Raw genomic sequence first — 27,811 nt, 5'->3', positions numbered from 1 at the left:
GAGTTCAGGCAGAGATGCTTCTGTCTCCTAAAGAGTGAGGACTAAAATTGTCCCTGAAACTGCTCTAGAAGAAAGTACAAAGCCCTCAGGAGAACAGAAAGGCAAAAGCACATGTCATATCCATGCAGTCTTCAGTGAGGTAATTAGCCCTTGATTTGCTTTTTTTAGATTATTCAGGTCTCAAAGCACATTGTCTCCCTATTCTTTTGTGCATGGATGAAAATCATGAGCTGATAAAGCTAGAGATGACATTACTTTACATACCTTATGTTATTAATAAGGGGACAGAGGGCCACAGTGTTTAAGTGACTTGGCCAAAGTCACACAGTTAGCTAGTGACAAAAATAGGACAAAGAGCTGGGTCTTCTAACTTTGAAGCCATTATTTTCTGCTCTACAACACCTCCAACAACAACAACAACAAACCCTGATGTTTCTACCTCACATTGTGTGCTCACAAACAGATTTATGGCACCACTCTATGAGGTCATCACAGCTATCAAAATAGTCAAATTATTTTACCTATTTTTCTAGATTTGTGGAGTGGTGATCCACACCATGGAAATTTATTGAACTGGCTGTGCTATGACTTCTATCATATCAACCAGTCCTGGAAGGATCATTATTATGTATTAGAGTGCACGAAGAAAACGTTTCAGTCACTCTTGACCATGTGAGGTTTTAGACAACTGGGACCAACTCTGTTTACTTTGACAGTGGCCTCCCTTCACCTAGAACTTAAGAACACTTAGTTATCTTTCCATTTGGTGATGATGACAATGAACATGATCATAAAATACAGCTGTTAGGGAAAAAAACAAATATGATACAGAATTATCCAATGAAATGAGATAGGAAGAAAATAAACTCAGTTTTGATGCTATGTTTTGGAATCCTTATGTTCCAAATTTTTTTTATCACTTTCACTGCATTTCTATTTATAACACAGAACAGAGGAAGAGGAAAATTTCTTATTTTTCTCAGTTTCTTAAATATTTAGATTACTAATTTATGTGTCTCGGGTTGAACTGGAGTCTGTTGTTTACCATTCTTGTTAGAATTTATGTAGGACTTTATTATTTTAATACATGGCTCTGTATTTATTTTCCATAACACAGTTTATCTTCACTATTGTCAATAAACCAGTAACCTTGGTAAATATATTCATATCTGTTTAGATCAAATAGATGGATAAACCTAATTATTACGATGGCCTAACACCTAACAAGCTTTAGTAAGAAGCATGATTTTGGCCAGGCACGGGTAGCTCATGCCAGTAATCCCAGCACTTTGGAAGGCCAAGGGAGGCAGATCACTTGAGATCAGGAATTCAAGACCTACATGGTGAAACCCCATCTCTACAAAAAATACAAAAATTACCTGGGTGCAGTGGCACACACCTGTAGTCCCAGCTACTCAGGAGGCTGAGGTATGAGAATCAGTTGAACCCGAGAAGCAGAGGCTGCAGTGAGCCAAGATTCACGCCATTGCACTCCAGCCTGGGTGACAGAGCACAACTCTGTCTCAAAAATAATAATAAGAAGAAGAAGCATGATTTGGGTCTGGTTAGATTAGAAATAATCCATAGGAGCACCCTAGAGAAAAGAGTGGAATCCCTACCTGAAACAAAAGACTGACTCAAACCTGAGGTGGTTCCTCAATCCACCTGAAGTGGTCCCTGAGTCTTCCATTAGCATCACTTTACTCTGCCTTTCTGAGAATGGCAAAGGAAAGAGTCTGTTTTGTAATAGACTTCCGGTTCCAATCCCTAGATTCTCTATTCAGGTTGGGTACAAGACTTAGTTTGAGCAGGGCCTGTAGTTTTCCTTCCCTCTTCGTACTGGGTGCAATCAAAAACCCAAAGACAGAAGAGATCAATTACAAAAGCAACAGTAAGTAGCCTTATTTGGGCCATTTCATTAAGAATGTTTATGTTTTTACTTATCTCTTTAATTTGCATTTGGAAATCCAATAAAACTAGTTTGAAAATTATTGAAAGTGAGATTTTTTTAATATTGAAAACTCTTTAAATATTGAAAGTGGTACTTTTTTTCTTTGTGTAATTTTTTTAATGGGGTCTTCTCTGCATGTGTGTAATTTTCATGTCACTTAGGAATAAGCATGCATATACTGATACTTGTTTACATGCATATGGAAATTGCATTTTTTTCAAAACTTTGTGTTGTTTTTTCCCTAATTTTGTTAATCCAGAACTCTTACAGAAAAAAAAAAAAATCTTTTATTACATGGTCCCATATCATCATATACATCTCAGAAGCTGATTTTCCTTCCCCAGGTATCTGGACCATCTGTTCTGCCCTTGCCAGGGAAGACTTTCATATCCTTTATCCACCGCTGCCAAAATGCTATGTTTTTCCTCAAAAGAGGAGAAAATATGTGTATCATTTATCAATAACATGCAGAATGAGGCTTGACTCAACGAATGTCACAGGAAAGGGAATGGAAGAGAATACCATTATACCATTTTTTAGAATGATTAAGGAAAATACGTCTTCCTACCTTTGTGAATCATTTGATTTCTCAGAGCTTCTAGGAGGAAGGCCTCATAGACTTGATGTTGAAGATGACTTTATTACAGTCATGCACTGCATAACTACGTTTTGGTCAAAAATGGACCACACATATGCAGTAGTCCAATAAGATTATAATATCCTGTTTTTACTGTATCTGTTCTATGTTTAGATACACAGATCCTTACCATTGTGTTACAGCTGCCTACAGTATTCAGTACATGCTGTACAGGTTTCTAGCCTAGGAGCAATAGGCTATACCATAGAGCCTATGTGTATAGTTGGCAGTATCATCTAGAATTGTGTGAGTAATCTTCCATGATTTCACACAGTGACGAAATCGCCTAACAATGGATTTCTCAGAATGTATCCCTGTCATTAAGCCATACGTGACTGTACTTTCTCTTTTACTCTCTTTCCCTCAATCTATTAATTCTGCTAATTTGGGAAGCCCATCTCCTAAATGACTTAATCCTCTGCTGAACTTCTTTAACCTCTCTAGGGCCCAGTCATACAAATGCCAGTAATGGAATTCGTCTTTCTAATTCCCTAGCCATTAACTTTACTGTTAGCCAAAATCCCTGTCACCTTAACGTCAGTTTGCTTTACATTTCCTCAACGGACCTGCCATTTTTAAAAAATAAAGGCAGCCTTCATTATTTTAAAAGGGCGTGGAAAGCGTTTTTTCTCTAGAAGAGACTGAGCGGATGTTTTCAAAAGCCATCTATTTTTATTCAGATGTAGCCAACAGTTAAGTTAAATACACAGCCAAAGTTTAATGCAGTCTTTGAACTTCCCCTACATGCCCACATTTAAGAAGGGCATATTTCATTTGCTAAAAAATTATTTTAAAAGAAATTGAATTTTGAAAACATTATTTCTAGTTCACCTGCTTTTTAAAAATGTTGGCTCCCTGGTCGGGCGCTGTGGCTCATGCCTGTAATCCCAGCACTTTGGGAGGATGAGGTGGGCAGATCATGAGGTCAGGAGCTGAAGACCAGCCTGGCCAACGTAGTGAAACCCATCTCTACTAAAAATACAAAAAAAAATCAGCCAGGCGTGGTGGCGGGCACCTGTAATCCCAGCTACTTGGGAGGCTGAGGCAAGGGGAATCACTTGAACCTGGGAGGCAGAGGTTGCAGTGAGCCGAGATCGCACCACTGCACTCCAGCCTGGGTAGACAGTACGAGACTCCATCTCAAAAGAAAAAAAAAATTATTTCCCTTTGAGTATAATCTATGACCATTGTATGAACATATATTTTTCTACTTAATTACTCTGGTTAGTCTTCAAAAAAAATTTTTTTAAGTGATTGAATTAGGTGCAATATTATATAATGCCAGTTAAACACAATTGCAAAAATATCTGAGTTCTTGACTGAAAAAGAAAAACAGTATTTGTTTGTTTGGGATTCAGATTCTTATTCTAAATACAATATTCTACAGGTCTGTGGCATTTACTCCCAATAACTAGTAGCCCTTTCTCAATACCTTTCAGTCCTTGCCCCGGGGTCCTTCAATGGAGAGCAGCTGTCAGTTGATACTGGCTGGGTTTGCCAAGCCAGGACCACAAGATTGCTTACCTTACAATATGTATCACTTATAGTTTGTCCCTAAATATTCCCGTTAACTGGCTAAATTTCTCAGGTTGTTTTCCTTGCAAAAAAAAAAAAAAACAACAACAACAACAAAAAACCACTCTTGGCTTAAGATTTTATTAACTCATTATTTAGAGTTTTCACTAGATTATAAATTAAACTACAGTTGATAGGAGTGTGTGTGTGTACGTGTGTGTATGCGCACACATGTGTTTTCATTACCATTTTTTTAAACCCAAAGCTATACTTGGCACAGAATAAGAGATCAAAATATGTATGTTGAATGATTGACTGCCTATTATTGAAGGCAGCTTTATTAATATATGCTGGGGATATAGGGAACAATGTGAAGCAAAAACTAAGCATAGGCCTGCCCTCAGGGAGCATATCTGAGGGCAATCTAACAGGAATTGATCATAAAAACAAATTTCAAATGTCAAACGTGACAGTGCAAAGGTACAAAGTGCTATCAGGGTCTAGATGAGAGGGATCTTGTTGGATACATCTAGGAAGGGCTCCTTGAAGAAATGATTTCAGCTGAAGTCAAAGGATGAATAGATAATAACCAGAAGAAGAGGAGAGGAAAGTTCCGTCATGTTTAGTTCACCTCAGTTCAGTTCTTTTTCTCTCGCTCTCCTGTTTTTCCTGGTATTTATCACTAAAGACTCTTCCTATTTTTGCCTGCTGCCTTAGTTTGCTAGCTACTCATGGACTTCTGCATAAATCTCAAGGGCATAGGTCTCCTTTTAGGAAACAGCCAAAACTTATCCTTCTAATTAAAATGTCAACATTATTTTAGATACGCAGGACAAACTATCAAAGAGAAAAATGAATTAACAAGGAAAACATCTCCTTTTCTGCTAATGACTTTAACTGCTGTGTACTTAGAGAAGTGCCACGTGGTAAATACTTAGTGATTCTGATTGGCTGGATGGTTGGTTGACTGGTTAGCTGGCTAGCCAGACGTTGGATGGATGGCTGACTGGCTGGCCAGGTGTTAGATGGTTGGCTGACTGGCTGATTGGTTGACCGGGTGGCTTGGCAAATAAAGGTGAGGGTGGTAGATGAGCTTTGATTTTAAAGTCAAACTTAATTTTATTCAGATTCTGACTTACCTTTCACTAACTCTATGATATTGGACAACTTACTTAAGCTCTGTAAGCCTCAGTTCATTCTATTAAATAGTGCTTTTCTCAGTTATTATAATATCAAAGGTGATAATGCATATATAGCTTTAGCATGGCACCTAGGATATATTAACTGTTCACTAATATGTGTTCACTATTTTAAAGAAAAGCAAGAAGCTTGAGTGCTTTTTCCAAAAGGAACAAAATTAGTGAAAGCAAATGATTAGTCTGTGTTTAAATGTTAACTCTCTTAATCTTAGTCCTTCTGTTTTACTACAACAGATACACATCTATTGCAGACCAGAAATAGATATACCTAAGAAGAAGATAAAACATGTAGAAAACTCACATGCAATTTTTTTGCTTGACAGATTAAAATTTAATTTACTCACCACCCTATCCTTCTCCCAGTTTTCCTCATCACCCTCTGATTGCATTATTGCAGGGCTCATTATGATGGTAATTTTCTCTACCAAAAATGGGGAGAGAATGATATATTATTTCTTGACATGGATCATGGTGGTTACTTATTTGCTAAACTGAACATTATGTTTTATGTATTTTTCTATATGCACACTCACACTTAAACATGCATAAAGGAGGTAAAATTGCCACATGAGAATGTGATGGAATAGGACAGAACAGACCAAATTTAAACCAACGTTATGCCTATATGAGCAGATTGGAAGGAATATCCAAGCAATGAATCCTGATTGTCAAAAAGAGGAGATGACACTTACTCCAGCTACTCCAGATTGGCTATCTCTGTGTCACAAATTGAGTGGCTAGAGTGGCAAATTACTAAACTCATTTTTTTTTGGGGGGGGGTAGTGTATGCACATATAACCTGCACTGTAGAACTGTAGGGCAGGATCTATGTATGTCACATGCACTTGCTTAACTCTAGGCATGAAGAACTTCTCTCTATGGCAGAAGTCTTTTATAGACCTCAACTGGTAGAGCCCCCTTGCACAAATGCCACTGCCCTGTCTTTTCTAGTCGTCATTGCTAGCATTCATACCACATGTGCATGATTTCAGAGCTAGCTGCCCTGGTGTATTAAATGATATCAGAAATGAAGTCAAGAATTACAGATCTTTATTATTAACAAGCACGTTTTGGCTTTTCAGCGCCGACTGGGGGATGCAGCAAAGAAAGCCATCAGCAAACTCCAGATCAGGACCATCAAGAAGGGTGACAAGGTAATAGCAGCCTCTTTTCTTTTTGGTGAGGAGCTATTCAAAGAAGCTTCTAACTTTTCTTATAGCCAGGGTGGAAGAGAGGAAAGGATGGGAAAGGGAAATATATGCTAACAGTTGTCCTATCAGTATCTGTTATTATACTCTTCTTAATTAAACATGAAGTTTGTTATAAAATGCGTATGCTATGATAATAAAATAGTTGTATAGAAAATATGACAAACTGATAAGTGTATAAAAAATAGATGAAGCCAGAATGAAATTAGTACACAAATGGATTACCTAAAATTTGTACTAGAAATGGGTCTCAAATTTAAGTTGGGGCTTTCTAGCAGCCAGTGCAAAGGAAACAATATTCAGGTAATATTTAATGAATTTATTCCAGTGTCCCATGAGATAAAATCAAAATGGTTGTTCCTGATGTTATGACCTGAGAAAGTTTTTTCATGAATCTTTGCAAGCAAGACAGCTTTATGTGCTGAGCTATGTTCTCCACTTGTCTACAGTATAAATGCAGGAAGTATATTCAACCCCTCTGAAATCCAGTATTCAGAACCCCAAGGTTGATAGGTGGTGTGGCTCATGCCTGTAATCCCAGCACTTTGGGAGGCCAAGGTAGGTAGATCACTTGAGGCCAGGGAGTTCAAGACCAGCCTGGGCAATGTAGAAAGACCCTGTCTCTATAAAATTTTTTTTTAAAATCAAAACACAGAGCCCCGAATTCATTTCAGTAGTCTCCTTCACTGTAGAATGATGTCATAAAGCCAAAAGCAATAGTATGTCTTGAGGAGGGAAAACAAAGCAGTCCTGCCCAGGTTTATGGGCTTCTAAGGGTCTTCCTTATTCCCTAGGCCAAGTTAGAGCATTGGATTACAATACATGGGTTTGGAACTCCTTGGGGCAATGTAAGGGATTTACAACTCCATATATAAGCAGGTATTGTCTCTAATCTGAATGATTTATTTCACAAATTATGTGCTATTATTTTTCAAGTATATAAAAACGCCATTGGGCTTATAAGATAAAATTTATTTAAAGGTATTACTAAATTTAAAGGACATTTTGGTCAGTATGTTATTTTCCTTCAATCAGAGAATAATAAAAGTACAAGGACTATTACATAAGCACTATGTTATGAGGCATTAAAAGAGATATATATATACTTGAAAAAAATTGGAACTACCATTGTGTGTTAATATTTATTTTATACACTAGATTCCAGAAGAATGGATAGATTAAATATTATTCAGATGATTCACCACAAATATTATTTCTCATCCTGAAAATTTTGATATGTTGCCTCTAATTATAATTAATAGCATTGTTAGTAATTGTACTTTAGAAAATGGTTTTCCTTACAAAAGCACTTGCAGTGGAACCTAGAAACAAGAAGTAGAGGTTGGAAGGAATGGAAACTAGTCCAATTGATGGTACATTTGATTTAAAAACTGGCACCAGCACAGCGGAAAGCTTTGCTCCAGGCAAGCTCTCCTTGGGTTTTGGCTTGGATATTTACACAAGAGATGAAGCTAAGAAAATAGGCTCATCTGTGCTTCCTCTGTTGCAGGAAACAGAGTCTGATTTTGACAACTGTGCAGTTTGTATTGAAGGGTACAAGCCCAATGACGTTGTCCGGATCCTGCCCTGCCGGTGAGTCACTAGGCTGCCTGCTTTTGATTGGGTTGTGTGTGTGGAGCGTGCCTGCGTGGCCTCCCTGGCCCCGACCTGCTGGGCATAGTGCTGCCAGGTCAGTCTGCCTCAGTGTTTCCATGTTTCTATTGCAGACAACCCTAACATTCTTGTTTTTGTATAACCTTTGTCCTTGAAAACACTGTATCATGAAATATTTTTCTGATCCCCTATCCCCTTTGCATCAAAGGAAGTATACTGCTATGAACTAGGACTTCATGAGACAGAATTTGATGATGTGGCCGCCAAGTACAAGTTTTCTTGAACAACAGATCTATGATGTTCAGAATCAATTCTGGCTTTTACCAGTACTATTTTAATTAAAATAATAAACTCTGAAAAATATTTTGTGAATGAACATGAACAGTGTGGTAATTAGAATATGGTCAGAAGTAAGTAGGAAGCCAAGGACAGATCCCATGCCCTTTCATTTTTTTTTTTTTAAACTAACAGAAAGAGAATGTGACACTCAAATTCCCTTAAAATTCTTGCATCTAGGGGAGGATGCCAGGCATGTATAGTTGGGGAAGCTCCCCAGGTGATTCTTATATAACCCTATTCCCTCTCCCTAATTGAAATTCACTGAGAAGTTGTCTGAATTCTTTTTAAATTGTTAAAATTAAATAAATTTAAATACTTTAATGAAACCAAATCTTTTTAAAGTCATGTAAAATCCATCCTCCTTCACTGACAACCATTTTTAGTGTTTTTTGCATCTGTGTAAATGTCCCAAAAATAAAAATAGAATTATGCCTTGTTGGGAGATTCTTCATTTAGAAAGATTGGCTTTCAATATTCTTAGATACTTCAGCCAGGCATGGTGGCTCACACCTGTAATCCTAATGCTTTGGGAGTCCAAGACAGGAGGATCGCTTGAGACCAACATTTCAAGAACAGCCTGGGCAATATAGCAAGACTCTGTCTCTACAAAAAAAAATTAAAAATTAGCTGAACATGGTGGTGCTCAGTACATGGTGGCACTCGCCTGTAATCCTGGCTACTCAGGAGGATGAGCTGGGAGGATCCCTTGAGCCCAGGAGTTCAAGGTTATACTGAGCAATGATCATGCCACTACACTCCAGTGATCACACCACCGCACTGGGCGACAGCGAGACCTTGTCTCAAAGAAAAAAAAAATTCTTAGAGACTTTAAAAGTAAAGTAGGAAAACATATACCACAAAGATGTAAGACAATTCACATATTCATGAAACAATGTAAACTTAAGGACTGTTTATTAGAACTACAAAAGAAACAAAAATTACTTTAGAGGAATGGCTTAATAATCCCAAAATGACAAAGAGGTGACCAAAAAAGAAGTGACAGGATACTAAAATTGATGCATAAACTCCCAAGGGAAACAGACCTTGGTTGAAATGTCCATAGGCAAATTGATCATTAGGAAAATAGGCATTAGGGAAGTACATCCTGGTGGCCCCAGCCAAAGCCGTCAATTGTGATTCACTTTCCGTTAGTTTGTAGACACCTATATCTAAGACGAAATCATAAATAGAGATAACTGAAGATTTGGTAATTTCCTTCATATGAGGATTCGCTATGTAAGTTCTTTCTAGTTATTACATACACTTAGTGTTTACTCAGTGATTTCCAGAAACACAGGCAGACAAATGCAGTATGTGAACTACAGAATGCCTCTTGGAGCAACATCTTTTATCTCTGCAGTATTTTATTAAAGGTTTTATAAAGCCTCTTAGATATAAGCAAAGTGCTTTCCTTTATTTTTTTCTTGAAGATTATTTAGAGCCCTATGCGATTACTACTAATAAAAAAAATTCAGAGCCAATTAAAGTTAAATATCTACATTTTTCTGAAAAATCCAAAGACATTTACAAATGTAAATTAAGAAAATCTGTTTTAAAAATTATATACATAGCATTACTTTAGCTCTACAATTGATACAGTATAAAATAGTTTATTTACTTAAAGCTCTGTCATGAATAAATTTCATGTTACTACATATATATATGTAGTATATATATGTAGTATATATATGTATATATGTATATATGTAGTATATATATGTATATATGTATATATATATGTAGTGTATATATGTATTTATATGTATATATATGTAGTGTGTGTATATGTGTATATATATATAATTGCTAGAGACTGCATAATATCCAAGTCATAGATGTACCACAGTTTAATTTTCCATGTCCTTATTTGGGAACATTTTTGGCTGAGTTCAATTTTTATGACAGATTGCGTTGTTTTAACAGTGTTTAGACTTTCATGATGTGTTATTCCAGATCTCCTTTTATATTGTAATTTTTTGGAAATATTAACAAAAAAATAGCATTTTAATGTTTACCACAGAAAATAAAACCTTAGGGATTTTAATGTACATTAGCCCTTGCTCTTGGCTAGTTTAGTTTGGCTTCAGGCTCCTCCTTGTTTAAACGATTATTTGATTCTTAGCTCATTCCTTGATTTTGTTTCATATTCCTTACTGTCCATCTACTATTATTTCCATACTATGAACCCTGCTTTAAATAACAAAATGCATTTGAGCATTTTCAAATACAGCTATAATTAATTACTGTTTGATCTTATTCTAGTCACACATATCTGTTCTGAATAGCTCATACATTTTTTCCATGTAGGTTTTAAAATCAAGGTATTTTTATGCCTGTTGCTGTTTTCTGCCAGACAGTTTGCACTAATGGATATTATCAAACAAATGCACTGGCGTTTGCTTTTTGCTACATAATTTTCTCTGGGGTATTATTAAGCCTTTGCTCCTATGAACTTCATAGACTCTCTTTCCCTTTATTTCCAGGCTGACTCATCCACAGAGTTCTTTGCATCTTCTTGGCATAAAAACTGTTTCAAAAAATGTTCCAGTTTATCATCTCCCTTCACTCACACTTTTTCTGTGGCCTCATAACTGCTGACATTCTTGGTGCATCTCTTCACTATTGTTTTCATTTAGAATGTCTTTCCAAATTATACTCTTGTGTCACAACTTTTTCAAAATCATTTTATCGCTTGTCTCTTTCTGAGACCCATGAACAAATTATGATGAATTATTAATAAATGCCTTCCTCTCTTTATTTGTTGTAGTGATTACTAAAGTTAAGTCATGCACATACACACCTACCATGTCTTCCCCTTCATCCTTTCTTCATCCAGTCCCTCTCTAGCACATGAAGGTGAGGCCCCCCAGAGTGAGCCTGGATGTGTACATCTACCATGAGGGACAGACACCCCTTAGCCCACAAAGCTGCTCAGCCTCAGACAGGTCTAACTTCTGTGGTTTGGATTTGATCCTAATACACCACTGAGACATTACTCAAGACACGTTGGTTTTGCTACCTCATACGTATGCCAAAATATGCATTACACTATATTTTAGGGGTGGTTTTTGTATCTAAGGTTAGTATTTGTGATTATGATTTTTAGCCACAAAAGATGTTTCATTTTATTATCTTCTCTTGCACGGAGAGTAAGTTAGCCTCTCTGATTCTTCCTGGCTTTTATCACATGGTGTCCCTACTGTTCTTCAGGGATTATTCATTTCAGCCTGTTTAGCTTCTCAATTTCAAACACACAGTGTCTCAGAAAGAATATGAATTCCTTAGGCAGGCCAAAAGTCCTTATTTGCCATTGTTTTAAACCAAAGCAATAGATAGACCGTTTCCCTGCATTCCTATAAAATTCCTCCTATCTCTAATTTATCCCTATAGCATTATCACCAATTAGGGAAGATACTAGTTTCTACTACTGTTTTTTTTCTTTGATTTTTGCAAACTCTCCTCCACAACTAAGGAAAAATGTAAACCCTGTCTAGTAATAAGCACACCCTCTTGATAAACTTTTAGTACCTAAATGCTTCATTTGGAACAAGAAACATTTTGTAGCAACTGTGTGCCAGGAATAGTGGAAAGTCCCAGCGATGAGAAGACAAATGGCATGATGCATGCTCTAAAGGAAATAGTCTAGTGGGAGAGAAAGGAATTTAAATAAGTATTCATGATAGAGAATGGTATGTGTAACAATAATAACACAATGTATAAAAATTTTGGAGGAATTAATACCAGACACAAGGAAGTTAAGAAAGATTCCACAGAAAAAAAGTAATGTTTTCATGTCTTCTAACAATGGTTTGTATTGTCCATTGCATCCTCATTCTAGAAAATTTGTAAAATGGGTAAATATTTAAATATCTGCCTAACTCCTTCATGCAGGTAACTACTGCTATCATTGTTATATATTGTCTTCTTTTTATTTCTTATGCTTATTTTGCAACTTTAAGATACTATTGTCAATATCATTTACTATCCTGTTCTTTTCACATACACTGTAAGAATTTGCTAGAAATGGTATTAGATTATTGGGGGTCTTTTTTAGATTATTTGTGCCTCATTTTTATTTTCCTTTGGCCTTCGATACTATTGACAGAAGTTGATCAAGCTCTAAGGTGCATAAACTGACCAAAGACCCTGGGATGTTGGTGCTTATATAAAACTCACTCTTCAAAGGTCAGGGTCTTTTTCTGGCCCAATGAGAATTTTCTACTGAGATAAAACAGGGAGGTGTCCTGGCCCCCTTTAGCTTATTTTTTAATATCCTTTGATGAGTTGTTTGCATTTCACCATCCTGCCCCACTACAGAAGACAGAGAAAAGCAGCTTCTCATCTTTAAATGCTTAGTTTGATTATGTGGCGCGTAGGGGCAGCATGTCCTGCTGGGTTATTATTGTCAGAGTTGGATTACAAACAAAATTCTCTAAAACTCATGTTATCATCTTTGGTAGATGCTTCCCAACTTTTAACTTGCTCATAAACAAATTACTAGTTTAGTATACGTAGTCCAAAAATCCAAATCCAAAATGCTCCATATCTGAAACTTTGAGCACCAGGATGGCCAAGGGAAATGCTCACTGGAGCGTTTTGAATTTTGGCTATTTGGATTAGGGATAATGCAGAATCTGAAAGAAATTCGAAAACACTTCTGGCCCCAAGCATCCCCAAGCATTTTGGATAAAGGATGTTCGACTCATACCGCATATAGTTCCATTTTGTAAATAGTGTTTCCCAGAGGATACACCAAGGAGCAGTGTTGTCAGTGCCACCTGGACTTAAATAAGGTCTTATTTGGGAACAGGGGGAGGTGGTTAAATCAAGTGAATACCTAACAACACCTATCCTAAAATAGTTCTTGTGGAAAAGCGTTGCACTGCTGCTGTTTAACATCGGCACATTGAAGCAGATTCCAGCATTAGAGAGCAGCACTGCCTTCTCTGAGCAGCCTCTGAGGCGGGCTCCATCACTGGCTCTGCAGGCCCAGGTTTTGCAGGCCTCAGTCTTTACAGCAGAAGTTAGTTTTGCCTGAGCAAGGTTACCTGTTAGATCAGATAATCCTGGAGCTGTGTGGGGGTTGTGTGCATGTGTGATGTTTGTTTTTTGTTTTTTGGTTTTTTTTGGTAAAATGTATATAACATAAAATTTACCTTTCTAATCATATTTAAATATACAATTCAGTGACATTAAGTACATTTGCCTTGCTGTGAAACCATCGCCACTGTCCATCTCTAGAACGTCTCAACCTCCAACATGAAACTCTGAATTCACTAAACAGCAATTCTTCATTCCCCTAGTCTGGAATTTTGTGCGCGTTTTATTTTTAATTTGAGCTTTACTTTTATTAACAGAAGAAAATGTCAATGAAGGAACTTAGATTTTGATTCAAGAATGAAATTAAAGTTGGCTAACTAGTAATTGGTATTTACACACTCAAAACCCTGACAGTGATAATTTTATATATTTATATTATTATTGCTATTGCTATTGTTATAATACTCAGATGATATTATTCTTGTCATTATCAATGGTACTATTCTGGTTTCTGTGACTATCGCTAACATCATTCCCACCATTGCCTCTTCCCTGGCTTTCTGCAGTAGCCTTTTCACTAGTCTCCCTGCTTCTACTCGTGCTCTTTAAGTATTCATTCTGATAAGTCTATTTTTAATTGTCAAGCTAGATTAGCTGGCTTTAGGTACTTTTACAACAAGTACAACTTCAAATTCATTAAGTATAACAGAAGGGTGACTAAAAAGTTATTCTTCAAGAAGATTAATTGGAATGTAATTAGATCCTTCTGTTTTTCTAAAATGTACTCCTGAAACAAGGTAAATTCACAAGAAAACTAAAAACATGCACTATTTCATATTAACTCTGTACAAGAGATTTGGGTTGGCTGGTGCAATTGCCATTGTTTTTATTGGAGATTACTCTAAGAAGCAATCTTAGCAAACTTGCCGTTGTGTCTCATTCGGATTTTGCACTCTGACTTCCTCATGGGAACTCACCAGGATAATTCATGTGTGGGAATAACTGTATTTCTCTCAAGCAAGGGGAATGTTTTTATATTGTAGATACTCAACTCTGTTCTGGATTTTTTCTGTTTGTTGACAGAAATCTAAGAGCCAAATTTGTGGCCTACCTATAGCCAAAAGGTGTTTTTTAGCCCCATCTCTTACTCTGTTTTATGTCTCTATTCTTATTATTTTTTTTCTTCTTTTGCTTTTACAATGTATTTTTGGATACTTGAATCTTCCAGTCACTTTAAGTTTTTTTGAAGCAGGTGTACCCCAAAATTGGGGCTTAGCTCAGGAGGGTTCTTGGCTTCACTCAGGAAAGAATTCAAGAGCAAGCTGGCAGTGGCAGAAAGCAGGTTCTATTAGAGCAACAGTGTACAGCAAAATGGCTGCTCCATAGACAGAGCAGGGCTATCCCATAGGCAGAATGGCCCAGAGTAGCACTCGTGGATTGCCAGCTAGCTATATTTATACCCATTCTTAAGCAGATGCTAAATAAGGGGTAGGTTATTCCTGAACTTTCTGGAAAAGGAGAAGGGAGTTCTCAGAACTAGATAAGGTTATTTCCAGATCATTGCCATGGCATCATTTATAAACCGTCAACTAGAGGTTGCCCTTGTTGCCATCTTGGTCCTAGCTGGTTTTGGCCAGTTCCTTGGCTACATTCTGATTTGATCAGAAGGGTCTTGACCAAGGATCAGAAAACAAGTCTTGCTGATCTCCTACTTCATTTTCTAGAATAAACATGGGTTTTCCATGTCTTCCAAAAGTTTGTCAGCATCATTTTTAATTAATATATAATATCCCATGTGCCATAATTTATTTGCCTAACTATTTTTGGACACTTCAATTGTTATACACACACACACACACACACTTTTTCTGCTATTATAAATAAGGCTGTGATAAGTAGCTCTGTGTATAGACTTCATTTCACATTTTAGATTAATTCCTTGTTTCTAAGATTATAAAGTTAAATTGCCAAATTATATTCCATAAAGTTGTATACAAGGAGCTTTCCAGACAAAGCTAAGAAGAACATTCCAAGCAAAGATAACTGTGGTGACCTGGAATTGTTAGAGTGTCTTGCTTGTGTTGGCGATGGGGCTGGAGAGGAGGCACCCCAGATCCTTCAGGGCCCAAATGTCTGGCTGAGAGGCCTGGATTATAACCAAGTGCTGGAGCACCCACTGTGAGGGGTTTGGTTTGTGCTTTATACACAACACACTGTCAGTGGCATGCAGCATGGTTAAGAGGGATCTGCCTGGAGTCAGAGGGACCAGTGAGGAGACTATTGCAAAGTCCAGGTAGGAAATGCTAGAAGTCTGAATTGGAGTGCTGGCACTGTGACATAGAGAGATAGACATATTCAACAGAGATTCAGGGGTAAACCAGATGACTCAACGTTTGGAGTAGTTGAAAATGACTGCCTGTTTCTCAGGTAGGTAGCTGATGGATACATATGTATTTGTTTGCATTTAAAACATGCTCATGTCTTTCCATTTGAATTCTAAATAGAAAAAAATATAGCAGCTTGCAAACTGTCACTCAAAAGCCGTAACACAAAAAACAGATTTCAAGCACTGAAAGGGATGTCATCACTCAAACACACACACACACACACACACACACACACACACACACACACACACACACACACAAACTCCACTTGAGGATCAGCCTTGGCTTATCTTCTTAAGCCTTTCTTCAGAGTTATCCAGCCCCAAAGCACTTTCACAACCCGGTCTCAGAAGCAAAGCTCCATTCTAAATAGATAACTGATTCTATTGGTAAACACTGTGTTACCCTTCCTCTTTCTCTTCTTTCCTTTTAGGAATAAGGTTAAATTTCTGTATCAGTTCCAGAGCTCCCCTTTGTAATTTGGGACATAGAATATATTATACTGTTTACTTTTTTAAAAATTTGCAATGTAAGGCTATACTTTTACAAAGACCAGAACATAACTAAAAGCCTTAGTGTTGAAAGAGATGAAGTGGAAATTTTTTAAACAGTTTCATATGAGACCAAAAATAAAAAACAGAATAAATGGTTCCTGATACAGAGCAGTAATAGTGAAAGGAGAAATGAAGTTTGTTTGTATAAATTGTGGCAATAGATACCCTAACTTGCAAAGGGATTTCTAATGACATTTGAGTATCTGAGTCAGACAGAAGAACCTAAAAGGGATAGACCTGGAGACTTGGAAAAGGACTTTTTTGAGGGCTGTTGAAAAGTCAAAACCCAAATATGGTCTACTAGTTTTAATGAATTAGTTGTTATTTTGTACCATGTGTCGAGAATTGACACAACATTCACAAATCATCCCTGTCCGTCTAACCAGACAGACAGCTGCTTTTCTGTCTCAGTTAATGTGACTGATGTATATTTTTAACATGGACCTCATTATTAATTGACTCTTTAAGTACTATATTCCATGAACTCCTGTCCCCAAGGACAGATGGCATTTTTCCCCTGCCAGAGAAGCAGCACTGGGAGACATTTAGTGTAAAGCACATGAGAAATAGTAAGGGAATCAATTGGTAAAGCTTTCTAAACAAGCACAGACTCTAAGGCTCAGAGTGACTTGCCTACCTCCTAAAAATTGATTTAGTAAGGTTTACTGAGCTAATGTAGGTGACAGCACAGTGCCCACACCAAAAATGTCTTATTAACAGCATCTTGAGTCTGCCAGGCCTTGGAAGGTTGTTTGTTCGTTAGGTCCCACAGAGCTTCCTTATCCTCATTGGACGGAAACGCCCCTGGTAGTTCATAGCCTCCTTGCTTCTCCCTAAACTCAAATATAGGATTCATATCTTGGATCCTTAATGACAACCGAGGCAAAATCAAAGTTGGACTCTGATATTCATTTGTGAAATTCCCTCTTTAGGGGGCTAGGGCAGCCTCTCACTCACTCTCCCTGCCAGGGATGACATGATCATAATAAATAGCGTAACATGAGGAAGAATTATGTAAAAAAAAAAGTGAACATCATTTTAATATTTGAAAACTTAGCGTTACCATCAAGTTTTACTGAAATCACTGAAAAAAGACACTAGCCCCTTAACATTTTTAAACCCAGGGATCAGTCTGATTTTAAGATGAGTCAAATGAATTGAATGTGTAGACAGAAAATTCCAAGCTCTTTATGAGTAAAAAAAAATGTTTACAGAATGCTGTAATGTGATGAGGATTCCGATTATGAGTCCTATAACTCGTGAAGTCGAAAACAAAAGGGCACTTTCTAGCCAGACAGAGATGACCTGTCCTGATTTTACCCTGCGGTGCCTGTTACATAGGCTTGATTAGGAACAGATTTTTTCCAAGTTCCTTTTTTTTGAAAAGAGCGACAGAAATTAGCAGATTTTCATAGGATTTGACTTACTGTTTTATGCCTATGTTATGAATTGGTCAATCTATTTATAGCTGTTTTTAAATGTGTTTTTTAAAAATAACTTTCAAGGTTTCACTGCTAATTGTGCAAAATGTTGAAAACAGAGAAAAGTATAAAGAAGTAAACAAAAATAATCTGACCACCCAGAAATAATCATTATTAATGCTGGCATAATTAATTTTTATAATATATATATAAATATTTGTATGTTTTTAAACACTGTAGAGTCAAGCAATTAATATTGTTTTTCTTCTACTTTCTCATTCAGCAATAAAAAACATTTTTTAAAAACTTTAGAAATTATTTTAAATTTTTTGGCTGGATGCGGTGGCTCACGCCTGAAATCCCAGCACTTTGGGAGGCCAAGGTGGGCAGATCACTTAAGGTCAGGATTTCGAGACAGGCCTGGCCAACATGATGAAATCTTGTCTCTACTAAAAATACAAAAATTAGATGGGCGTTGTGCCGGGTGCCTGTAATCCCAGCTAATCGGGAAGTTGAGGCAAGATGATCACTTGAACCTGGGTGGTGAAGGTTGCAGTCAGCTGAGATCGCACCATTGCACTCCAGCCTGGACAACAGAGCAAGACTCTGTCTCAAACAAACAAAAAAAAGAAATTATTTAAAAATTTTTAGTAGTTGCATAATAGTTCGTTTTTAGAGTTTATTTAACTACCCTCCAACATTGTTCAGCATTTAAATTGCTTCCAGTTTTTCATCATTATAAAATCATGAGGTTAGTTGTTTATATATTTATTCTGTATTTATCCCTTCAGATACATTCCTAAAGTGAACTTACTAGATTGAAAGGAATTTTAAAGGATCTTGAAAAATTTTATCCAATTGCTTTCCTGAAAGGTGGTAATGATTGACACCTCATTAGCAGTATGTGAGAGTGTTTATGCTAGCACTCTCTCAGAACCATGGAGTAGTAAATTTTTAAAGCATCTTTCTCATCTGATAGCCAAATATAAAGGTAATTTAAATTCCCATATGTTTGATTTCTTTGATATATTACTATTGACTAACACAAGTTCTTTTTATATCATATCATATTTAATATAAATTGTCATTGATTGTAAGATGTTTCCTAATTTTAGATAGGTTAAAATGGGAATGAAGAATGATATGGCCTAGAATTGATAAAATGTGATACTATTTTTAACATTTTGTTTTAGTGTTTTTGGTGAATCTTTTTATTAAGTATTTTTATTTTTTATAATGCTTTTTTAATTAACAATTTAAAATTTATGCTATAAAATTAACGAATTTTGTGTTCTTATCTCTTCCTCCTTACTTTAATCCTTCCCTATCAAGAAATAAGATAACTGATCAATTAACTACTCTTTTCAAATTTATATGAAAATTTATGCTGGTGTATGGCATCTCACTCAAATAGTTTATAAAAACTATTTTTTAAACCCATTTTTCCAAGAACAGAATTTTATATACTTGGCCAAATTAAAAGTTATGCAGTGTAGTAGGAGTTTAAAATAGCACAACAGCTTTGGAAATTTGTTTGGCAGTTTCCACTAAAGTTAAATACACCCTACCTTGTGACCTAGCAATTCTGTTCTTGGATATATACCTGAGAGAAATGAATGCATATATTAACAGAAAGACTGATGCAAGAGTGGCCATAGCACATTTAGCCATAATAGCCAAAAAATGAGGACAGTACAGATGTCTAACAATGGAAAATCTGCAAACAAATTGGGGTACACCCATACAATGGAATACTACTGAGCAATAAAAAAACAAGCTATTGATGTACACCAAGGCACAGATGAATCTGAAAACCATTATTTTGAATTTAAAAAGCTAGACAAAAAAGAATACATACTTTATGATTCCATTTGAAATTCAATAACAGGGAAAACTAATATATGGTGACAGATGTTAGAATGATGGTCACATGGCAGAGAGTGGGTATTGACTGGTAAGGGGCACAGGAGGACTTTCTGGGGTGATAGGATGGTGTATATCTTCATCTGGGTGGTATGTACGTAAACATACACACACTTAAGAAATCATCAAGCTCACTTAAGGTTTATGCATTTTGTGGTACATTATACCTTCATTTAAAGTAATGGAAAAAAACTTAAGTACCAAAGAAGCTATGCAATAGAATTTTAAAAACAACAGTTCACTCTACACATTAGTAAAAATTACACAGTATTTCTAAGTTTGGAGTTTGCTAAGTGTTTTCTTATCGTTTTTCTTTGATTACTTCAGATTTTTATGTGTACAACATTATATATGTAAAATATATCACTTAAGGGAATAAAGGAAGGGAACATGAAAGAGATGGCAGTGCTGTAAATGATGTTGTTTTTCAACATAGCAAATGTCGCCTTAGGACAGAAGTCTTGCACTGTAATAACCTCGTTAAATATGGCATTCTGGCTTCAAATGTCCTGATCCCCAGTTATATTAATCAAGTAGACACACGGGATGAATGCCAACTAGCTTTGCTGCCCCAGCCAAACGATATAATTAGAACAGAGTTAAGTTCTAAGCACAGAGCCTCCCTCTGCCAGAAACCCAAGGAGTGAGACACACTATAAAATGAGGGTCCTGCAATTCCTCCCAGCTTGCATTCCCAAAGTAAAAATTTCTTCCATTGTAGTTTAAAAAGAAATTGATGTTAGTAGCAACAGGATCTGATATCCTTTCTTTGTTTTTTTAAGTTGTTGGTTTTTCTTTCATGCTATAAATCTAACGCAATGCAGAGCTGTGTGGAATAAATGGTTCTTTATATATTATAACACTTTATATATATATTTATTATATATATTATATATATATTATATATATATAATATATATATTTATATATATATATTATAAATATATAATATATATATATTTATATATATATATATATTATAACACTTTAACTTTCAAAAGCACTCTACTCTTCACAAAGCACTTTTGCATATAATGTCTAATTTTAGCTCAGACCAGCCTGTAATATAGATAGGACAGATATCAATGATTGCCCCTGTATTTTATTAAAAGAAAACCTTAACTCAAAGAAGTTGGTCCCAGGGCCCAAAGTAAAGCCAGGTTTTCTGACTTCTGGGCCAGCACTGTATCATTGGCTGTGGAGTTGACACCATAGCCACACTTATTCCTGCTCAGGGATCCCTGTTGTACTTTCATACCTCTGGGGATATGGTTTTGGCTAAAAATCTGCTTCAGAAACCCCCTCTCACTCTAAGCAAAATGTCTAAGCAACTCAAGGAAACTAAATCAAATTTAGCCAAGTTTTAAGAATTTTACTTCCTCTGTATGTTTTCTGGATATTACTTTCCAAACTTGTTTCTGTGAGCCTGAAAAGAAAGCAGACTTTTCGTAGAAGGACAGTGCTTGTGCGGTGAGCAGCAATTTACCTTATTGCATTCTTTTTTTTTTCTTTTTTGCTCTATCACATGAAACTGCTATCATATTTGCTTGCCAAAACAAAGTTATTATGTTTATAACTACAGCCAGAATATGATTACTACTGGTGCTATATTGCAGCTTTTTTCCGTTTGTCTTTTCTTTTTTAAAAAATGATGTTTTTAGGCTGGGCACAGTAGCTCACACCTGTAATTCCAGCACTTTGGGAGGCCACGGTGGTGGATCACCTGAGATCAGGAGTTCCAGACCAGCCTGGCCAACATGGCAAAACCCTGTCTCTACAAAAATACAAAAATTAGCCAGGCATGGTTGTATGTGCCTATAGTCCCAGCTGCTTGGGAGGCTAATGTGGGAGAAACACTTGAACCTGGGAGGCGGAGGTGGCAGTGAGCCTAGATCACGCCACTGCACTGTCCAGCTGGGCAATAGAACGAGACTCTGTCTCAAAATAAATAAACAAATTTTAAAAATAAATAAATAAATATGATGTTTTTAAATAATTGGCCCAACCATTTCAGATCAAGCCCATTAGCAGAATTGTCCCCACAGTGTGGCACTAGGTCAGTGGGATTGAGGATATGGTAGGATGAGACTGGTGTCTACTTACTTGACTTAATCAACACCACATAGCAAGTGATGACTAGATCATCCCCATCACAAGGACTTCCTGTATAGGAGACATAGAAAGATGGAAAAGTATAGAAGGAAATAACTTAATGATGTGAAGTTCACCATCACAAGGAACAGGGAAAAGCATGGCTCCCGTCCATTATTTTCTTCACCATTCATACCTCTTTCCTAGATTATTTCAGAATGTTGATTTAGAATCATATTTTCCAACTTCATTTTCTGTTCATCCACTTAACATAGCCTACATTTCAACCCATACATATCATAATACAGGTTGAGTATCCTTTAACCCAAAATGCCTGGGACCAGAAGTGTTTCACATCTCGAATTCTGGAATATTTGCATTATACTTACCAGTAACCACCCCTCATCTGGAAATCCAAAATCCAGAATGCTGCAGTGAGCATTTCCTTTGAGCACCATTTTGGCACTCAAAATTTTCCAGATTTTAGAGCATTTCAGAGTTTGGATTTTCAGATGAGGGAAACTCAACTTTTGCTTCTTCTATATGTTGAGTTATGTAAATCCCTTCTTTTTGAATTTCTTTCCTCCACTGTAAATGCTTCAAAGTTCTTCCCATGCTTTAGGCTGTACAAAAGGCCTTACCGTATCCCATAGCCTTTTAATTTCCTCACAAACTTCTCCCTTCGCTGAATTCAGTAGCAGTTTTATTTGTATTTATGACCTGTCACTGTGCATGTTGTACCAACATCATTTAAAATAGTTAATATTACCATTATCCCCTGAACACTTACTAATGAAGCACTATACAAACAAGCATTTAACCCTTACAACAGCCCCATAAGTTATTTTACTAGTCAGGATAGGCGAAGCTTTGATGCAGTAACAGCAACGAACCCAACTCTCAGTGGCTTAACACAGCAAGGATATCTCACTCATGCTTTGTGTTCACTGTGTGTCAGCAGAGGGTATCTACTCATGGCAGTCAGGCTGACAAAGCAGTCACTATCTCAAACATTGTTAATTGATAGGTCAGCAATTAAATGCCATGACCTGAAGTGAAATCTGTCATTTCTCTTTATAATTTATCTGCCAGAATTAGTCACATGGCCATAGCCACCACCAGGAGAGCTTGTCATCTCCCCATGTGCTGGAGAGATGGAGAGCTGACATACTGGGTGACAGTATTGGGTGCCTCAGATAGGTGCTGCTGTTATCCTCATTTTATCAGTGAAGAAACTAAGGCTCAGAGAGGCTAAGCTGGAGCAAAGAAATACACTGGGAAAGAATAAAGGTTTGAATACCTCCAACTACCCCCCTTACCTGTGACAGCTTGAGGATGGGGTGAGGAGTATAGAGTGGGTAAAAACACTGACTGTCAGTTGGAATTTGAATCCTAGCTCTGCAGCTGACTAGCTCTTCAGATAATTTACTTTAATGAGCTTCAGCCTTCTCTTCCATAAGACAGAAATAATAATTTCTACTTCATAGGGCTTTTGTGATTTAATTATGTATGTAACATGCCTGGTACATAGTAGGGATACAATAACTGGTAGATACTGTCAGCATTCATTAATTACTGACATTAATGTCAGTGTTCATTAATTTAAAATTCACTCTTTATTGACAGTTTTGCAAATAAGATTCAGAGGCTCTGCAGAAACATTTCGGGTATGCATAGAAGTACTAGGTATCTTTTTAAAATAGTTCATGTTGCCTGGGAGTATGGGATTCTCAGGTACCTGAGTGAGTCACATTTTTTAATAACCACTTCACTAAGGAGAATGAGACAGCTTGCACTGGTGCCAAAGGAAAACCACAGGGTCCTAATCTCACTTGCAGGGTGTTAGGGTCCAACGGTGTCTACAAAAGTGAAAGAGATGGGAAAAACAGAACAGCCTTTTCTCTCTCCAGCTGGGGAAAAAATGTCATTAAATTGGGGAGGGAATCACACATATAGGTGAAAGAACAGCAGAAAACAAGAATCAATAGATGTGGAAATTAGATTAGCTTGGTTTGTCATTACTGCCAAAAAGTGTGAGAACTTATTATTCATCATCATCTCTGCATCATTATGCAGTTGTCTGCATCCTCTGTTTTCGGGTGTTTGAAGAACTATTTTTAAAATGTTTGCTTCCCTTTGGTGAATGAGGAAAGAAAACAGTTTTGGCCAACTCTTTGTTGTATTTCCAATTTGTCGGGATTGTTAAGAGATGGATTATCTTGTCTTCCGTGTGTGCTTTCTCACTCAGCACTTGTTAAACCATGGGAAGATTCACTGCTATCCTGTGAATCCTATAAAAAAGATGAGATGGACTTTGCCTTGGAGATGTTTACTAACTGGTGCATTTCACTCAACTCCAGATCCTTTCCCTATCCTTTTGTTTGTTTATTTAGTCTGTTGACTTTTACTTTTCTTTCCACTTAGGAGGAAAAATACTGCTTTCCAATCCCAATTATAAGGATAAAGTTTTCATATTTGATGATCAATATGCTACCAAAAAGAAATGATTGTGAATTAATAATAAGCCTGACTGCCCTGTGTGGCATTTCAGCAGTTTTTCTTTTTTGCCCTTAGTTCTCCCTCTGATTTTTTTAAAATTTGTAGTTATCTGCTTTCCATGTTAGGAAGGTTACACAAAAGAGTAGAAATCATAATAATCACATAATATCTTTAAAATAAGATGTAATACAATGCTATTAATAAGATTTATGGTAGTTTACAATTAAGGAGTACCAGGACTTATGTTTTAAGCTTTGTGAGTATTATTTATTCCCTTTCCCCGCCCCTTCTCTCTCTCCCCACACCCCAAACACACACACACAGACTCATTCACTCATGAAGCCCATACCTATAAGACAAAATTTCACTGATGAGGAGCTGAATCTTACAGAGCTAAGGTAGCCTGCCTAGGACAATTAAAGCAAACAAAAAAAAACCCCAGCAGATCCAGGAGTGCAACCTTTCCATTGTCGTTAACAGTGAATCGCTAAATGACTGTGATGCTGCCTTAAAGGGCAGGGCCTTGTCTTATTCATCTTTGTACCCAGCTCTCAGCACAGAACAGAATGGAACACGGGGGTGACGTAACCAGTGCTATATTTTAGGAAGATAAATCTGGCAACAATGAGTGGGATGAAGAGAACAAGAAAAGACTGGCAGTGTGGAGAGCAGTTTCGATGCCATTGAAGTGACACAGAGAAAATGATGATGAGCCAATGCAGGAGGGAGCCACGCTGAGAGAAGAAAAGTCCCGAATGTGACAGAGATTCAGGAAGAGTGCATGAATGAGACTTGACCATGTGGAGGCAGGGAGGAGTGCTAGGTCCTTGGGTAAATAAATATCTGTTCATGCAGCAAATGTTTCTTGAGCATCAGCTGTGTGTCGGGAACTGTTCTAGGTCCCGGAGATGCAACAGCGAATTGAGCAAACCAGAATTTTATTCTCCTACAGCTTGTGTCCTAATTGGAGGGATATGTTGGTCAGGATTCTCCAGAGAAGCAGAACCAGCAGGAGATATATAGAAATGGAGATATAGATACAGGTGGAGATTTCAAGGAATTGGCTTATGTGATTGTAAGATCTGGCAAGCCTGAAGTCTTCAGGACAGGCCTATAAGCCGGAAACTCTTGGCAGGAGCTGATGCTATAGTCTTGAGCAGAATTTCCTCTCAGAGAAGCCTCAGGGTTGTTTGGTTGGTGGGTTGGTTGGTTGGTTTTGAGGTAGAGTCTTGCTCTGTCACCCAGGCAGGAGTGCAGTGGTGTGATCTCGGCTCACTGCAACCTCCACCTCCCAGGTTCAAGCAATTCTCCCATGTCAGCCTCCCAAGTAGCTGGAATTACAGGCACACAACACCACGCCCAGCTAGTTTTTGCATTTTTAGTAGAGACAGGGTTTCGCCACGGTGGCCAGCCTAGTCTCAAACTCCTGAACTCAAGTTATTTGCCTGCCGCCTGCCTTGGCCTACCAAAATGCTGGGATTACAGGCATGAGCCACCATGCCCAGCCAAAACCTCAGTTTTGCTCTTAAGATCGTTCAAATGATTGCATAAGGCCCACCCAGATTGTTGAGGATAATCCCCTTTATTTAAGGTCAACTGATTGTAGATATTAACCACATCTACAAAATGCCTTCATAGCAACATCTTGACTTGTGTCAATTGAAGAACTATACTACAGCCTTGCCAAACTGACACATAAAAACTAAGCATCCAGGCCGGGCACGGTGTCTCACGCCTGTAATCCCATTACTTTGGGAGGCCGAGGCAAGTGGATCACGAGTTCAGGAGATCGAGACCATCCTGGCCAACACGATGAAACCCCGTCTCTACTAAAAATACAGAAAATTAGCTGGGCGTGGTGGTGGGTGCCTGTAGTCCCAGCTACTCCGGAGGCTGAGGCAGGAGAATGGCGTGAACCCAGGAGGCAGAGCTTGCAGTGAGCCGAGATCGCGCCACTGCACTCCAGCCTGGGCGACAGAGCAAGACTCCATCTCAAAAAAAAAAAAAAAAAAAAAAAAAACTTAGCATCCAGAGGAGGTGTAAGAATGACCAGTGCATAGAGAGAAATAACTGAGGGTGTTTGAGAACAACGACCAGTGTCTGTGGATCAGAGACTCTGGGGAAGGCTTTTCCGCTGTAGTATTAAATACTTCTCCATCCTACAGACAGGCCACTGAGACTTGGGGATATTAATCATCTTATTTGATTGCTAATGAATGGCCTTGCTGTCATTCTGACTCAGCCTATGTGCAGAAAACAGCAGAGCCCTGCCTCCAGGGAATGGTCAAAGGACCAGAGCGTTTGCCTTTTTCCCAGGAGCAACACCAGTTGGTGAGCAAGTTCAGATTAGGAACTTAAGCATCAACTGTGTGCCAAGAACTGGGGTTGCCAGGATGCAACAGTGAATCAAGCAAACGAGGATTTTGCTCTCACAGAGAGCAATCCTCCACTCTAATTGGAGGATATATTGGTCAGGAGTCTCCAGAGAATTAGAACCAGCAGGAAATATGTAGGAATAGAAACAAAGATACAGGGCCGGGCGCGGTGGCTCACGCCTGTAATCCTAGCACTTTGGGAGGCTGAGGCGGGTGGATCACGAGGTCAGGAGATCGAGACCATCCTGGCTAACACAGTGAAACCCCGTCTCTACTAAAAATACAAAAAAATAGCTGGGCGTGGTGGCAGGCGCCTGTAGTCCCAGCTACTCAGGAGGCTGAGGCAGGGGAATGGCATGAACCCAGGAGATGGAGCTTGCAGTGAGCCGAGATCTTGCCACTGCACTCCAGTCTGGGTGACAGAGCGAGACTCCGTCTCAAAAAAAGAAAAAGAAATAAAGATACAGAGCGTAGATCCTGAACATAGGGAGGTCAAAATTGCTTTTTGGAAGTGCAAGGAAAGGAATGGCTTTATCCAACTTGGGTGCCAGACACCCCCTTCTCCTTGCTCCCCCTCCCTCCCTGCGCTCTTGCATGAGCCATTCCCCCTTCTTCCACCTCCCCTTCCCCTCTATGTAAACCATGACCCATGTACCCCTTAGGTTTCAGCTTCGTCACTTTGTTAGGGAGCCCTTCCCTGAACACCCCAACTAGGATAAATCTCCCAGTTATAAGCACCTCCTCGCCAAGCTCCCTTTTATTCTAATGTAGTACTTAACACTGTTGTCACTAAGTACTTTACTTCTGTATTATTTTATTAATGTCTGCCTCTCCTGCTGTGCTTCCTGACGGAAGGAGCCAAATCACCATTGTGCTGATTCTGTCTGTTGAGCACAGTTCTTAGTATATACTACTTGTTGCATGAATGCACAGATAAAGGAGTGAATGGATGAGTGAATGAAATATACTCCTTCCAAGTAGTATGTATTAGTCTGTTCTCACACTGCTATAAAGAAATACCTGAGACTGGGTAATTTATAAAGAAAATAGAGTTAGGC

General features: G+C 37.8%; 1 protein-coding gene across 7 annotated transcripts in view; it reads left to right on the top strand.

The window, feature by feature from the left end:
- Positions 1–27,811, top strand: part of RNF150 (ring finger protein 150) — a 353,094-nt gene that overhangs the window by 257,144 nt on the left and 68,139 nt on the right. For all 7 annotated transcript variants that reach the window (XM_047415998.1, XM_011532148.4, XM_017008475.2 and 4 more), the window contains 2 exons: positions 6,385–6,456; positions 8,021–8,103. In XM_047415998.1, coding sequence (XP_047271954.1) covers positions 6,385–6,456; positions 8,021–8,103 — 155 coding nt within the window. The remainder of the gene's footprint in view (positions 1–6,384; positions 6,457–8,020; positions 8,104–27,811) is intronic.

This window comes from Homo sapiens, chromosome 4, assembly GCF_000001405.40.
Source record: "Homo sapiens chromosome 4, GRCh38.p14 Primary Assembly".
NCBI lineage: Eukaryota > Metazoa > Chordata > Mammalia > Primates > Hominidae > Homo > Homo sapiens.
This window is presented reverse-complemented; position numbering and strand designations above follow the sequence as displayed.